This window comes from Homo sapiens, chromosome 4, assembly GCF_000001405.40.
Source record: "Homo sapiens chromosome 4, GRCh38.p14 Primary Assembly".
Taxonomy (NCBI): Eukaryota; Metazoa; Chordata; class Mammalia; order Primates; family Hominidae; genus Homo; species Homo sapiens.
The window spans coordinates 6,283,791-6,300,500 of record NC_000004.12 but is presented as its reverse complement, the minus strand read 5'-3'; the positions used below and the strand labels follow the sequence as shown (position 1 = coordinate 6,300,500).

Genomic DNA, 16,710 nt, shown 5'->3' with positions numbered 1-16,710 from the left:
TTCTCCAGGTGGCCCTCCCCATGCTCGCGGTCCCTGTGAGCCCTCCCTCTTCTGGGCCTGGAGCCCCCCTCTGCCCCGTGCCTGGCTCCCCACCTTCTACCAGCGTGACTAGATGCATGTGTGCTTCTCTCCCTGCAAGACCTCCAGCACTGGAGGGACCCACGGGCTCCCCACTTCCCTCCCCTCAGGGTCACCCACATGAAGAGATGACGGAGCCCTGAGATGCCTGTCTGGGAGCTGGTTTTGTGACCCAGCTCTGCACTACAGCAAGGATGTCACCTCCCTGAGCCTCCATGAAGGGAAATGGCGATCCTTACGAGGAGGAGAAGCCGCAGGCAGTCCCCGGAGGGGTGGCAGAGCAAGCATTAGGGAAAGGGAGTTCAGTGCAGACACAGGCAGAGGGCCCAGCACCACTCTCCCAGCAAAAATACCGTTCAGCTGCACGGGGCTGCCGGGTGAGCTGCCCTCCCTATGGCCGGAGACCCTGAGAAGCAGCTGCCAGGCCACCTTCTGCCCGTACACACACGTGCACACACACACACGCAACCCACCCCTACACACACGCATTCACACAAACCCACCCCATACACACACACACAACCCACCCCTACACACACACATGCAGCCCACCCCTACACACACGCATTCACACAACCCACCCCTATACACATTCACACACACGCAACCTACCCGCATTCAAACAACCCACCCCTACACACACATTCACACACACGCAACCCACCCCTACACACACACACGCAACCTACCCGCATTCACACAACCCACCCCTACACACACATTCACACACACGCAACCTACCCGCAAACAACCCACCCCTACACACACATTCACACACACGCAACCCACCCCTACACACACACGCAACCTACCTGCATTCAAACCCACCCCTACACACACATTCACACACACGCAACCCACCCCTACACACACATTCACACAACCCACCCCTATACACATTCACACACACGCAACCCACCCCTACACACACGTGCACACCCACCCCCACACGTGCACCCTCACACATGCACACCCACCCCTACACGTGTGCACCTACACATACACACCAGCGCACCCCTACCTCCCCATAGTCAAGGCCAAAGGCTGCCTTCCCCCGACCTGTGGGTCCTGCTCCCCTGCTCTGCATGCAGCGCTAAGGTCAGAAAGAGCTCTTGGCCTTCACCACAGCCAAGAGGAGCAGAGGGCTGAGGGAGGCATGCTGGGAGCAGCCTCAGGATGGGGTGAAGCAGCGCTGCCACCCAGGGCCAGCCCTCATGCCTTCCTGGTCTGTGCAGAACTCAGAGGCCCTGAGCCCTGCCAGAACACAGGGCAGCCAGGCAGAGGGACTGGAGGGGATGGGGGACAAAGTGGCCATGGTGCCAGTGCTCACACAGCATGGCGTGGCATACAAAGCAGGTTCTGTGCATCTTCAGAAGTGCCAGGGGCCTGGACCAACACCAGGAAGTGGACGCCTAGGGGGCGGCCCCACATGGGGGTAGGGAAGCCTGGCTGCATGTCCAGGGCCCACTGAGGGGCTACATGACACATCCAGGCTGGAGCCCCCCATCAGCTCCGGGCCTCGGGGAAGCACCAGACCCCACAAATCCCCTGGGGCAGGTTCTCTCCACCAGGCCCACCAGAAGGCCAAGGAGGGATCCCAGGTGAATGGCAACTAGGTGACAACACCAGAATGTGGCCCTCACCTGCCAACAGCCTGGCTATCAGCTCTGGAGGACCAGGACACCTGGAAACAACCAGAAGACTGAGTCTTCCACAGATGAGAGGAGAGGGGCAGGCTCATGGAGGAAACGGAAGTGTTATGAGTGTGTGCATGCATGTCTACACAGACTGAGCCTTCCACAGATGAGAAGGACAGGCTCATGGAAGAAACGGAAGTGTTTAGGAGTGTGTGCATGCACGTCTACACGTGGGGGAACAGCTCTGCTGCTTCATGTATATTTGTGACAGTCCACTTAATCTCTGTTTTATAACAAGCAAATAAACGATTAAAGCAGCTAACAGCTCCCCTAGCTCTCTCTGGGGTCAACAACCTTCTACATGAGCAGAGAGGCGCTCACACTGCCAGGAGATGGCCAGGGAAGACCAGGCACTACAGGGTTTGAGGGCATTTCCAACGCTTGCCAGAGAGCCAGAGGGCATTTATGAAAACCAACCTACTCCAGGGTTTGTTTGGGGCAAGCCCCTGTAGTATGACGCCAGGCCAGCTGGCTAAAATCAACAGCTACACGAGTCAACATGTGCGTCAGCCGGCAGGCTGCTCAGTTAATCCCCGTATGGGGGCCTTGCGAACAGCAGGACAACTAAAGGTGGCCTGGCCCGCCACTGCTCACCACCAGTTTCACGCACGACCGCCACGGTAGCAAGGGGGTGGCCTTGGTAAAAATAAATCTGAAATCCTGTCTTACTCAAAGCCATGCACATTCTTTTGCCTAGAACACACACAACCACCTGGTTGAGAGGGCCTTTAAAAGACAAGGAATATTCTAGAACATTACGTTGGATGGCGTCTAGCCTCTGCTTGGACAGTGTGGAGGGGCTGGTCCCCCACCTGAACTCGATGACCAGGGAACGATCCCCTTTTTAAAGCCCCAATTTCTGCTCCCTGCAATGTACACCCAAGACCTTCCTCTGACATGGGATTAAAAAGTTCAGTCTCCTTTTCTGCAAAGAAGGTCCAAACAAATTCAACTCCTGAGATGGAAAAAGAACGAAACTTAAAAACTATGAGGAGTCTGCCTCTATGAATAGAACACTGCAGAGCTCTCTGTCTGGGCCTGTGGTGATCGGCCCTTCTGCTGCCACGAGAAACCAGGAAGCAGCGTCACCACACCGATGGCCCAGCGGACCCGTGAAGAAGGCAGGCTGGGGAAGGGAGCCGAGACGAGATTCTGCTCAAACCTGTGGGCAAAAATGTTCCCGTGTCGGATCTTCCAATTATGTAATGTTAAAAATGTTACGATTTTAAGATATTAAGTTTGTTTTCAGAGGATTCTATCTACGATGACAGCTTGCACCTCCAGGCTCCAGAAGAGAACTGTGTGGAGTCTGGAACATTCTTTGTGGGAGTAAGGGTGGCTCACAAAGAGGTGTCTGTCATTTTCACTTTGAGTGAAGACCTCTCCTTGTTCTACAAAAGGCTACTAAAAGGTGGGACAGCTCTCAGCCCTGGGAGACGCTTGTGACGATTCATTGCCTCCCTCACAAGAGACTTCTAAGAAGACAAACTGCAAAGGAATCGAAGTGCTCTGACAGCATCCAAAACTAAAGGGAAACAGAGTCTTGTTTACTTCTTGTCAAAACAGCTTAAATCTCTCCCTTCTAAAAAGGACTTTCAGGCTGGATACAGTGTCTCACGCCTGAATCCCAGCAGTGTGGGAGGCCAAAGTGGGAGGCTCGCTTGACCCAGGAGTTTGAGACCAGCGTAGATAACAATAGTGAGACCCCCATCGCTACAAAATGTTTTCAAAAAAATCAGCTGGGTGTGGTGGCACATGCCTGTAGTCCAGCTATTTGGGAGGCTGAGGTGGGAGGATCACTTGAGTTTGGCACGTTGAGGCTGCAGTGAGCTGTGACCGTGCCACTGCACTCCAGCCTGTGCAACAGAACGAGACCCTGTCATTAAGTAACATAAATAAATAGGATTTTCAGATGCTACACAACACTAGACTCACCATCCATAACTAGGTGACATAATTTTCCGAACAGGACGCATATGCAAGGAGGCATTATTATAATAGTACTTACACCAGATGGCATAAACTGGGACACCTGGGCCATGGCCGCCTGGCCCAAGGGTCTTCTCCAAGTTAACCCGTTCACCTGTGACCCTCACTCTCATTTCGGGAGTGTCTTTGCCAAAACCATGCCAGCACCCCAGCTTCCTCATCTCCCATTAGTAAGGAGATGATGGCACCCAATCTGTGAATATGCTTGCCTAGGGCCAGCTCTGAGCAGACCATCAGTAAAAACCATGTGCTCCCTTGGTTCAAGTTCTTGGCCATCCTGGCCCATGTCTCAGAACCTCTGCAGACCGGTCGGTGTCATACCCTGGACATACAGCCTGTCCCAAGTGGGAGGAGCAGAGCCTTCCACCTGCCACCCTAAAGGACTCGCAGCTCTGGGCACTCGGGGGGCTCACACTCAGACCTGTCTGGCTCCGAGTCCCTGCAGCAGGGCTGCTGTGCCTGCTGCTCTTTGGGCTGAAGCTGCTCCTGCAGCACCTGGGTTCCTGCTCTTCCCCCCCACCGGAGGGCGGGCCTACTCTGACCTTCTCCCTGGCTCGAGGACGGTGACCTTTCAGCCTGCTGCCTGCCTGACAGTTGGTGGCCCAACCATCTCCTGGTCCTGGCCCTGACTCACGCGCCCATCTGAATACAATGATGGCAGTTCCTCCAGGTTCTCAGTCAGTTCAGAAGACAGAACCCCAGGGTGCCTGCATGATACTGCCCGCAGCCTCTGTGACAATCATCTGCTGGGGCCCCCTGTGCTGGCCTCAGCTTGGGGATCCTGGGTCAGGAGGCCAAGCTTCTGGAAATCCTGGTGTTCTCTGCAGAGTGAGACAGGCACACATCTAATTCAACCATGCGAGCTGAACTGTGAGCAACTCTGTGAGAGGCCATAGGGCCACATGGCCAAGAAAACAAGCTGTCAGGCCAGGAGTAGGGCCCGCACTGCTGGGCTTCCCGCTCCCCGCTCCCCGCTTTCCTCCTGCCGCCAAAGCTGCTCATGTCCTCCAGGTGTGCCCAATGGCACCCTGCACAAGTGTCACCCACCACGCTCCCACACTGGCCTCGCTCCCTGAGCCCTTGCAGATCCAGGGGCAGTAGGCGCCTCTGCACGTCCTCCCTGGCCTGACGGACACGGCACTTTGTTTTCGGGGAAGGCATCTTCAAGGCACTGGCCTCCACTCTGGACCATACATGGAGAAATCTGCTAAGTGATGAAGTCTAGATGAAAGTCTGCGTCCAGCCCGCCCCACTGCCCCCTACACTGCACAGAAAGACCCAGGGGCCCCTTGCTTGCCATCCTAGCACTCCTGCCCAACACCGCCCCTGGTTTCTGAGCCTGACGGCGCAGAAAAGAAAGGCCTCTCTCCCGAGGACACATCCTTATGACGATAGATGATGACCCAAAGGTACCAGCGGCACGGCTGTAAGACACTCTTTGTTAGGCGCGAACCTCCCCACCTGCAGCTTCCTGGAAGGTGCCCTGCCTGAGGTGCGCGAGTCCTTGGGAGGCAGGCTCCGGCCTGACCGGGGTCTTGGTCACTCACCTTCAGACGCAGTGGCAGGTCCTCAGGGCTCTTCCCCGCCAGCTCGTCATCATCTTCGTCGTCCTGCAGGAACAGGCTGCTGGGGATGACGCCCTTGGCGTACTTCTTAGTGATCTCCACAAAGTCATCCAGCGCGATGTAGTTCTTGGCTGAAGCATGAGAGAAAACAGCATGGGCGCCCCACACTGCAGCCCCACTGCCACCCTCACACAGAGCAATGGGCTGGGGACGGTGGCGTGGGGCCAAGCTAAGAAAGGAGCTGAGTGGGTTCAGGTGGAGGAAACCCTTCCCTGGGCGGCCTGAGGGTTGAGGACCAGGCTGGGTGAGGAGGAAGGGGGCAGGTTTGCCAAGTGCCAGCCTCCACTCCTGGCCCCCGGCCCCTGGGTGTGCTGTCCCCCACCCCAAGTGTCCCTCTCTGCCTAGCTCCTTATGCCTGGGGCCACTCACCCACACCTTTCACCCAGTTCACCTGCCAAGCCTTACAACATGCACCTCCAGTGCATGCTGACACCCTCCTCTTCAGCCAGCGTGGGGCTTCTCACAGCACGGGTGACAAGCCGCCCTGTAGGGCAGTACCCTGCCAACCGCTCCATCGAACATGATCTGCGCCCCCAACCCCTCCATTCAACGTGATCCACCCAGGGCCTACTGTGCACCTGCTAAACCGCTCCATCCAACATGATCTGCCACACACCTACTATGTGCCTGCTGACACCTCCATCCAACAAGTGTCTGCCATGGGCCTACTACATGCCTGCTAACCCGTCCATTCAACATGCGTCCTGCCATGGGCCGACTTACCCCTCCATCCAACATCTTCCACCAAGAGCCTGCTACGTGCCCACTGATCCCTCCATCCAACGTGATCCGCGAGAGCTACGTGCCCACTGACCCCTCTATCCAACATGATCCCCTAGGAGGGAATGAGGCCCCTGAAGGACCCCAGTTGCCGTGGTGAGATGGTGACCAGGAGGGCCTCCAGGGGAAGGATGGGAAAGAAAGGACCATGCTGGGGCAGGGCAGAGGGAGACAAGCCAGGGTGCTGCAGAAACCCTAGGGAGGAGGCAGGCTGCATCCAAGATGGCAGCCGTGATAGTGGGCGCTGACAGACCTCCTAATGGATCAGCTGTGTGTGCAAGAGGAGAGGAGTCGGGGCAGCACCCAGGTGTAGCTGCAGCAAAGAGATGAGGCAGCCTTGGGGGGGCCCACACAAGTGGCAGGTAGCACAGGCCTCAGTAGCTCACTGTAGACTGAGCTGTGAGGTGACCATGGGACAGCCAGGTACAGGAGATGTGGAAGGAGCACGGGCTGGATGCAGCCTGGGCGGGCTGGGGGCTTGCGGGTTCAGGACGGCGTCTGACACACGAGAGTGGTCACCAATGCCACCCACACATCTCCCTACCAGAGCACAGTCCCTACGGGAAGACCCTGGTCCCCACAAGGAAGGCCCCTGTCCTCATAGGGATGAATACCTTGGGCAGGATGTCCTGTCCTGAGAGACAGGACATCAGTCTAGGGACCCCAAGAAGGAGCAGCCAGTGTGGCAGCAAGGGCCCCGGGCCTGGTGGGGGAGAGGGCTCTAAGGAGAAGAGCAGTCATCTCTGCCCACGCTGCTGACAGATCAAGTCAGACAAGGACAAGAAGTGACTGAGCAAGGGGGGTCACTGATGGCCTAGACGAGCCGCTTTGGTGGAATAACATGGCAGAGGCCTGAGAGCAAAGGACGGAGGACGAGAGAAGGGGATGACAGACGCCCCTTTCTGGGAGTTCTGTTGGAAAAGCTGGCAGAGAAACAGATGATGCCTGATGGGAACGTTCTGATAGAGGGGAAACAATGGGGGTGCTGGGGCCCTGTCCCTGAGGGCCTGGCGGAGGGGACCACAGGCTGGCAGCGCTGACTCCTAACTCGCCCCCAGCAACAGCGACAGGGCCCAGCAGCAGGTGTGCCCGGCTCATCACAAACCCCTGTGGGACTGGGAAGTGAGGTTGGGGTCCAGACTCTGCCTGCAGTGCCCCCCAGGATGGAGACCCAGGCTGGGCTGCTCCTGCCCAGAGGCACCTCACTTCAGGACAGCAGGCACCATGCCACCTCGGTGGCAGGACACTGTCACAGCCTCTCTGGTCCTCGGGCTTCCTAGAGTCACAGATTTCTTCCCACTTCCATGTGAGGTGTTTCTTTGTCTCCCCCAAATGGAGCAGGAAAACAGCAGCGCAAGCACCCATGTCCGCCCACGCAGAGGCGAGGGCTCTGACCACACCCTATGGACGGTTTCCTCACGGGCCCAGTGGGAAGGTGGGATCTGTGCTCCCACCTGTACTCTGCCCTACATGCCACAGAGGCTTCTAGGATGGGCGAGGTCCTTCAGTCCCCTTGTCTGATCATCTCACTGTTCAGAAGGGGAAACTGACACCCAGAAAGAAAAATGAGACCTGCCCATGTCACAAGAAGAGTCTGTGGCAGACCTGGGTCTTGGCCCATCCCCCCATTGATACTGAGCCCCCAAGCCTCCTGCCTGTCTATCTTCTCCAGGACAGGAGCTCCCAGTGCCTCAGACTGCAGAGTCTACCCCACGTGGATGGAAGACAGTGAGGCTGGCCAGCTGCACGTGGAGGATGTGACGTCTCTTCTCAGTCTTTGACCACAAACATCCCAGAGGCACCCCCAGCTCAGTGTGCCCCAGAGACTCTATCCCCCAACCTAGGCTCTGCCCACTCTGTTCCCTGCCTACCTACAAAGGGCCTACGCTGGGGCAGAGCCCCTTCCACACCCTGCTGGGTCTCCTGGGCCTTTGCTCATGCTGTTCCCTCTGCCCGGAGCCCCTTCCCCTAATGCCCTCCTCATCCTTCCCCACTCAGGACCCCCCCGCCAGTCCCCACCCCCAGTATTTCCTTGTCCAAGAGGGACTGGCACATCATGGTTTCTGTCCTGGGTCTGCCTTCCCTCCAGTGCGTGCGCTCCAGGTGGGCAGGGTCTACTCCCAGCGTCCAGAACACTGAGCCCCAAACGGACCGCCTGAGATCCTAGCAGGGCCAGGATGGGGTCGCACAGGAAGGAGAGGTCGCCCTGCAGGCGCAGGCTGGGAGGCACGGGTGAGATAGGGCAGGCCAGGATGGAGTCGCACAGGAAGGAGAGGTCGCCCTGCAGGTGCAGGCTGGGAGGCATGGGTGAGACGGGGCAGGGGCTGCACTCACACTCGCTGCTGACCAGGCGCTCCAGCATGCGCCTCTGCTTCTGCAGGGACTTGGGCACGGGGCCTGGCTGCGCCCCTCCATCTGCAGGGGACAGGGTGGATTAACAGTCAGACAAGTTGACTATCTCCTCGTGCCCTGCAGCCCACCAGAAACTGGCGCACTGTTCCTAGGGCACGCCAGTTCCAGGGGCATCCTACGTTCTGGGGATCATAGGGCCCCCAGGGCAGGCAGAGCAGGGGCCACACCTCTGTACCTCCAGTAGCTGGGGTGGACTCAGCACCACGTAGCGTGCTCCCACTTGGTGATGGACACAGTCCGTCCCATTGGTAGACGTGGTCACAGAGCACTGGGCAGAATACCCTCTGGTTTATTCAATGAGTGAGCACTTGAGCCAGGGCAGATGCTGTCAAAATGCCACCCACACACCTCACCACTAGGGCACGGTCTCTACAGGAAGGTTCTGGTCCCCTGGTCCCCACAAGGAAGGGCCCTGTCCTCACAGGGAAGGTCCCGGCTCCTGTGGGAAGACCCAGCCCCTGAGGGAAGGTCCCAGCCCCTATGGGAAGGTCCTGGCTCCTGTGGGAAGGCTGGCGCCCAGGGAAGGCTGGTGCCCAGGGTGAATCCTCGCACCGTGCTCGTTGACCTGGCCGACATTCTCCAGCAGCTCCGCCACGGCCACCTGCTTCTTCTTCTTGGGGTTGAGCTTCCAGTACATGACCAGGGCTGCCTTGCGCACGGCCCTCTCCAGGTCGGTCTCGGAGGAGAGCTGCCTCACCTCCCGTTCGTTCTCGGACGTGATGCCTGAGGGATAGGATGTGGTCAAAGGCCTTGTGTGCCCTGCCTAGGCTTTCGGTGCCACTCTGACCCTGCCAACTCTGCCTGGAAGGCTTTCGAGCGAGACTCATAGAAGGTGTCAGGACTTGGTTACCAGGGAAGGATGCATGGACATCTGACTCAAGAGGACATCGCGCCACGCCCACTCTCCAGCTGGGAGGCCAGACTGGTCTCCCACCAGACGCCCCCAAGTGCCCCCTACATGCTGGCGGGAAGAAGGCAGCCTCTTCCTGTTCCTCCCCTCTCTCAGAGGTGCAGACCCGGAGGCACAGGCCTGTGTTCTGGCTCACTCAAGGTCACACAGTCAGAAAGAGGCAGAGCTGTCTTGAACCCAGGGTGGACTCACTGCAGTCACCAGCCTGGGTGCACTGGCAGGGCCACCCCTGTGTCTACAGAGCTTTCCTCTGTCTCACACACAGCCCAGCCCTTTCTAAGGAAGGCTTGGACAGCGGGGAGAGGGAGAGCAGGTTTTACCGCTGGTCAGCAGCTGCCTTCCTCCCTTTACCCCCAACGGCCTGGGACACTGGCACAACCAAGCAGAGGGCAGGAGGACTGGCACGGGGGTCTGGATGTTTTTCTCCTTTTGAACATTTCCAAAATTTTCCACATGAGCATGTATTTCTTTTCAAATCAGAAAGCACAACTGCACATCAGAAGGTGTGTGCAGCTGGGGGAACACGGGGCCAACCGGCCTCCTCCCTTGCACGCTCTGCCCCAGCAGCCTCTGGGCTATCCCTGGCACCCAACAATGAGCCGTGTGGGCCGCCTGAGCCCCCTCCAGGTCATTCCAACTGCTCTGGAATCAGCAGGCTGGGTTGGTGAGAAATTCTGGCTAACAATGCCACTGTTAGTTTTTCAAAATCATCAGTTTAATTTTCAAAGAGAAGACTCTGTATAATAAATGTAACTCTTAAAATATGATACAAGCTGGGCATGGTGGCTCACGCCTGTACTCTCATCACTTTGGGAGGCCAAGGAGGGTGGATCCCCTGAGGTCAGGAGTTTGTGACCAGCCTGGCCAACCTGATGAAACCCTGTCTCTGCTAAAAATACAAAAATTAGCTAGGTGTGGTAATGCACGCCTGTAATCTCAGCTACTCAAAAGGCTGAGGCAGGAGAATTGCTTGAACCAGGGAGGTGGAGGTTACAGTGACTTGAGATCGCACCCCTGCACTCTAGCCTGGGCGACAGAGTGAGACTCCATCTCAAAACAACAACAACAAACACAGAAGGAAATACACCAAAATATGGGGAGTTGCTTCTGGGCTTCAAGGTTATGAGTAATTTGTATCTTTATGTTTTCTACATAGTCCAAGTTTTCTATGATAAGCATAAAATACTCTTACAATCTGAAAAAAAAGGTATCATTAGAAAAAACACCTTTGTGACACCCACTTTCATCTTTCCCTGAGGCGTGGAACCTTCAGGAAGCACACTGCCCCACGGCACCAGGGACAGCCACTTCCCTTGCGCAGGACAACGTCCTAACTCACCACCCCTGGCCTGAGCTGCGTCCCTTTCCTCCCCTGCCTCTCTGTTTGAAAGAGATTATCTATGAAGGGTCAGCCTGCCTCCTCCCAAAGTGAACATGCTTGTCCAGGTCTGTGTGGGCCCACAGCCCCTCAGCTGGTCTGCCCAGACTCGACGGACATCAGCTCAGGGGCATGGGCCACTCTGACTGCAGGCCACATTACAGTCTCCAGCTTTGCCTCAGGGAAACTGCCTCTCAGCTGAACCCAGGATCGATGTCTCAGTTTGGATCAGAACCCAGCAGGGAAGCAGGATGTATAGTTACCACTTGGAGATACCAACACAAGCCAAAGAGAATGAAAATGGCTTGGTCTGTTAAATATCCCATGTTAAGTCCAGAAACAGTGTCTAAAATGAGAAGGCCACCAGCAAAACAGAAACTGAAATTTCCCAACAGCATCACCAGCGTTAGGTTTGGTAAGATTTTAGTTGTTCAGTTAGCAAGCAGCATTACAAGCTGCTCAACCCTCCAGAGGCTGTTCTAAGCCTCACACAGACCCACCTCTTCTGTCCGCCAAGCACCGGCGAAGCAGCTTCACAGCCTCGCGACGGCCCTGCTTCGCGGCGAGGACCAGCCAGTCCACAGCGGTGCAGCTGTTGAGTTCTTCATCCGTGTCGCCGGCCAACTGCAGGTAGTGCTTCCCCACCTGCAAGCCAGACACCAGTCAGCCTCCAGATTCTCCGACCCTCTCCCACCCCATGCTCCCTGCCAGCCCACCTCCTTTCACCCACTTCCCTTTGTCACCCAGGCCAGGAAGGAAGGGGCAGAAATGGGGTCACACCAGGCATGTCCACTAGGCTAGGCCCTACTGAGCCTCCGGCCACTCGCTCCTCAAAACACGGTGAGGAAGGTGTGGCCACCCCATCCACACGGCGAGGGAGACACGGGCTCCGACTGGTACTGGTACAGGTTCTCTTCCTTGAGTTGCTCCTGCCTGCCAAGGCTCACCATCAATGCATGGAAATCAGAACCATGACTGGGTCCTTTACACCTCTCAAAACAGTCAGGGGACCATAGAAAGCCAGGGCTGGAGAGACGCCAGCTAACCAAGGGTTAGCACTGGCCCACTGCCTGTTTTTGCAAATAAAGTTTTATTGAAATACAACCATAACCATTCATTTACATGTTGTCCATGCTGCTTTTACGTGCTCCACAGCAAAGCTGAGCAACACGGCAGAGATTGCGCAGAGTCCAGAATATTCACTATCTGGCCCTTTGCAAAAAGAATCCCTGCTGAAATGGTCCAGTCTTCTCATTCTACAGATGGAAAAAGTGAGGCCCAGGGCACAGAGAGCCCATAAAAGGGCTTACTATGCTCCCCCCGCCTCCAAATGCCTGGGCAAAAGGATGTGGGAGGAACTTTAAAGTACAATATGGCTGTGAGGTCAGGAAAGAAATTTTTTTTTTTTTTTTTTTGAGACAGAGTCTTGCTCTGTTGCTCAGTTGGGAGCGTGGTGGTGCGATCTCGGCTCACTGCAACCTCCACTTCCTGGGTTCAAGTGATTTTCCTGTCTCAGCCTCCCAAGTAGCTGGGATTACAGGCATGCACCACCATGTCTGGCTAATTTTTCTATTTGTAGTGGAGACACGGTTTCATCATGTTGGCCAGGCTGGTCACGAACTCCTGACCTCAGGTGATCCACCCGCCTCAGCCTCCCAAAGTGCTGGGATTACAGGCGTGAGCCACCGCTCCCAGCCAGAAATTCTTAATTTATGGTTTCGCGTGGAAGCTTTTCTCCTCTTTAGGGAGAAGAGGGGGCAGGAAACTGCTCAGGATAACTGTGGTCACTTGCTTGAGCCCTGTGCAAGGGGACAGAGTGAGGTGGTGAGAACTTGCCTCCACAGAGGACACAGGACCCCCTGCCACCTCCCGTCTCAGCGTTCTGCTGGCTTCTCCCCTCACCAGAATTCAAAATCACTGTATTTCTGTGTCTTGTCTACTTGGGTTTTTTGGGTCTGCTTCTTCCACTAACCTGTCACCCATGAAGAGAGGGCCACATCATGTCCCCAGCACTGGCACAAAGCCCAGCCCTTGGCTGATGCCCAAGTGAATGGTCACCGCTCTGAGGGCCCCGTGCACACAGCTAACAGCCAGGTGAAAGGCCAGTCAGGGAGACAAGAGTGGGCAGCATACACAGTGTATGTTGAGGGGTGGCACTGAGCAGGCAGCTGCAGGAAGCCAGGAGGTCATCCTGGAGGAGGTGATGCCCAAGATGAGGTGTGAGTTGGACAAAAGGGGGATGAGCGCTGCTCCCCAGAGGAGTGCCAGGAGGAAAACTGGCACAGTGAACATGGGCACCCTACCAACATGGGGCTCAAGTGGGGTAGGGTGCACCACGCTGGCTCCTGACCCCGATCTCAGGCACCGACACTTCTCTGTGGGCTGTGGAGCTCGTGGCCAGGCCTGTTGTGCCGGGGGCCGCGTCCCGAAGTCCCTGCCGGCACCGCAGTCCTCACCTCAGTCTGTGCCTTGGGGTCCCCGGCCTTGGCCCTCTCCAGGACTTCTTCAAAGGGGATTTCCATGTCTCCCTTTGTAGGCCCTTTAACACAGAAGAAACAAACACACATGTCACAAAGCCAGACTTTGTCACTTGTCAGGATGGAGGGGACAAGGCATGAGGGTCTTCAGATCTGCTGCTGCTTGTCACTTTCAAATCCAGGCCAGGAGTACAGAGAGACACAGACACAGACAGGGAAGATGCCCAGAAAGCCACTGTTTGCCTTCCGGTCACAAGCAGCGCCAGAGCAAGATGAGCAAACTCTATGCGGGTGAGGTGGTTCAACAGCAACTCAAAGCGCTCGGGGTGGGAGGCATGGGAAGGAGGCGAGCACAGAGCCAAGTCCCACCATCACACCCCTTGGCCTAGGCCTGCTCTAGCTGGGGCTCTAGAAAGATCCAAGGACTCAAGTTTGACAGCCCATGACCTAAATAATACAAAGCACCTGTACCCGAAGCCCAGAACCCCAACAAATCAAGTTCATGTTTTCCATGATTGTACCAACAAAAACCACATTTTTTGGATATTATAATCAGTGTATATACATCTTGATATTACCTTTTCCTTCTTAAGAGTGAATGCCTTAGTCTGTTCGAGCTGTTATAACAAAAATATTAATACCATAGACCAAGCTGGTGGCTTACAAACATCAGAAATGTATTTCTTTCGATTCTGGAGACTGGGAAGTCCAAGATCATAGTGTTGCAGACTCCGTGTCTACTGAGGGCCTGCTTTTTGTTTCAGGTCTTCTGGCTGTGTCCTCACAGGGTGGAAGGGGCAAGGGAGCTCCCTGAGGTTTCTTTTATAGGGGCACTAATTCCACCGTAAAGCCATCGCTCATGATTCATCACCTCCAAAGGCCCCACCTCCTAACACCATGGGACTGGGGGTGAAGACCTCAGCAAATGAATCTGGGAGAGACACAAACTTTCAGTCCACAGCAGTGGATTGTTCTCTGGCTTCCCACGATGCGCTGCAGTCAGCTCACCATTTTGGTGGCTCCTAGATCCATCAAGGAGACAGAGTCAGGTTACTGACCCTCCCCTCCTCTCCATCAGGTCTGTAGGTTGCTTCCAATAACCTCTTGTTTTCTACGGTGGTGCCATGAACCGTTTCTTTTCTTTTGGGAAGTCATTTTCCTAGCACAGGTTCTCCAGTTGAATTATTAGACCAAGGGTCAAAACATCAACTACAGTTTGTGCTGCATTTTACTTCCTAAGAAGTTACCTGAATTTACAAAAGCATCATGCAGTCTTACCCATTTCACCCAAGGCTGGCTGACAACGGGACAGGCTGCATGGTTCCCAGTAACACCACACTGAGGACCAGCCTTTCTGGTCCAACTCACCCAGGGCTTTCCCAGAACCATACCGTGCCAGGCTCTGAACCGGCTCTGCAGCACCAAGTGCTGCCTGGCCACTGCCTTCAGATGACCCAGGTGTACAGGAGACAGGACTCCAGTGGGAGACCATGGGATGTGGCCAGGTGCAAAGGCAGAGAGGAAGGGTCACACCCAGTTTGGAGAGGGCAGAGGGAGGCTGGGACAACTCAAAAGTCGCAGGTGGCAGGTGAGGCCCTCACAGGTAAGGCTGTGTGGGTGAGGCATGTGTTTGGAGAAGGAAAGAATCAGATGGATTCTTCACAAGCTCTCGTGGTCAGGCACACGCACTCCAGCCCTGTGGATGGACAACTCGCCAACACAAAGGCCCCTCTCCCTGGAAGCCCCCCTCCCTGGATGCCCCCATCCCTGGACACCCCTCTCCCTTGATGCTGCTTTCCCTGGACACCACCCTCCCTGACAGGCCACCTCCCTGGATGTACCCCTCCCTAGAGGCTCCTCTCGCTGGACGCCCCTCTCCCTGGATGTCCCCGTCCCTGGAAGACTCCTCCCTGAATGTCCCTCTCCCTGAATGCCCCTCTTCCTGGACGCCCCTCTCCCTGGACGTAACTCTCCCTGGATGTAACTCTCCCTGGACGCAACTCTTGCACAGAGTTTCGGGCTCAGCTTCCTTGCCGGGGTCCTCAAGGACGCTGCTCAGAGATGGCATCAGGTCCCGCAGGGCAGCCCTTTTGGACACCCACCCTCCCCAGAGCCCCCAGACCTTGGTGCTCCCTGAATCCATCAAGGACAGTTCTCCTTCCTTGCTGCCGTCACCCTGCCAGCCCCCCAGCGTGGTTTCTGGCTGCGGGCTCAGCAGCAGACTCACTATCCCTAGAGGAACTGCAGACACAGAGCCTGCAGGCACCAAGGCCATGGGCCCACAGAGCAGCGTGAGCGATCACAATGACACAGACGCACGTGTGGATCCATGCTCCACAGTAAGGTGCTGTGCGACCTGGTGCAGGCCACATCACTGCTCCGAAGCAGCTTCAATCTGATCGTTAACATCAATCTGATAGGATGGTTTATGATGAAAAGAGATGCTTTGTAGTGAGTGGTCCAAAGTTGCTGTTCACAAGAGGAGGCTTTCTCTTCCCTCCCCCACTTCCCCAGGAGACCCCAGGGCTGTTGCTGTACTTCCCACCACAACGCCAGCACCTCTAGTGAATTCAAGTCTCCTTACTTGACCTAAGTTCACAAGTCATATTATTCTTCCCTTTTTTAAAAAAATCAAAACATGGAAGGTCCAAGTCTATATGGTGGTCTAAAAAGATTCTTCCAGTCCATAATTAATTTTTCACAGAAGTTATTCACAGCCTGACATTTCAAGACATCTCCCCGATATACAGAATCTCTCTCTCTTTTTTATTATTATTTTTTGAGACAGAGTTTCACTCTCATCGCCCAGGCTGGAATGCAATGACAAAATCTCGGCTCGCCACAACCTCTGCCTCTCGGGTTCAAGCGATTCTTCTGCCTCAGCCTCCTGAGTAGCTGGGAATACAGGCGGCCGCCACCATGCCCAGCTAAGTTTTTTTGTATTTTTAGTAGAGACAGGGTTTCACCATGTTGGCCAGGCTGGTCTCGAACCCCTGACCTCAGGTGATCTGCTGCCTCAGCCTCCCAAAGTGCTGGGATTACAGGTCTGAGCCACTGCGCCCAGCCCAGAATCTCTTTGAGATGGACACACACCCTCTTCATTATTCCAGCTTCCATATGGCAGTGGTGGGCTCGTCCTGCAGACCAGTTAGCTCAGTCCATGAAGTAGGAGCCTTCGTGGGCTCAAAGGCAAATCCCAGCATGCTCACTGCTCAGTGCCAGAAAGATCACCCCCAGAAGCCGGCTGCATCAGTGTGGACCACCAAGAACCATCAAACACACGTGTTTTCTGTGTGCTCGACCTCCGTTCCTTGCTTTTTCTGATGACTGCACCTTGATGTCCCTTTTGGGGAACCCCGCCACT

General features: G+C 55.8%; 1 protein-coding gene across 2 annotated transcripts in view, besides 1 other annotated feature; it reads right to left on the bottom strand.

The window, feature by feature from the left end:
* Nucleotides 1–16,710, bottom strand: part of WFS1 (wolframin ER transmembrane glycoprotein) — a 33,416-nt gene that overhangs the window by 2,765 nt on the left and 13,941 nt on the right. For both annotated transcript variants that reach the window (NM_006005.3, NM_001145853.1), the window contains exons 3-7: nt 13,326–13,408; nt 11,370–11,514; nt 9,134–9,304; nt 8,504–8,584; nt 5,312–5,460 (exon numbers count right to left, since the gene is read on the bottom strand). In NM_006005.3, coding sequence (NP_005996.2) covers nt 5,312–5,460; nt 8,504–8,584; nt 9,134–9,304; nt 11,370–11,514; nt 13,326–13,408 — 629 coding nt within the window. The remainder of the gene's footprint in view (nt 1–5,311; nt 5,461–8,503; nt 8,585–9,133; nt 9,305–11,369; nt 11,515–13,325; nt 13,409–16,710) is intronic.
* Nucleotides 1,290–3,487: an enhancer, noted in NCBI's record as "VISTA enhancer hs1979". NCBI's record gives its function as "enhancer in: pancreas[3/7]" and the evidence as "EXISTENCE:transgenic organism evidence [ECO:0001131][PMID:17130149]".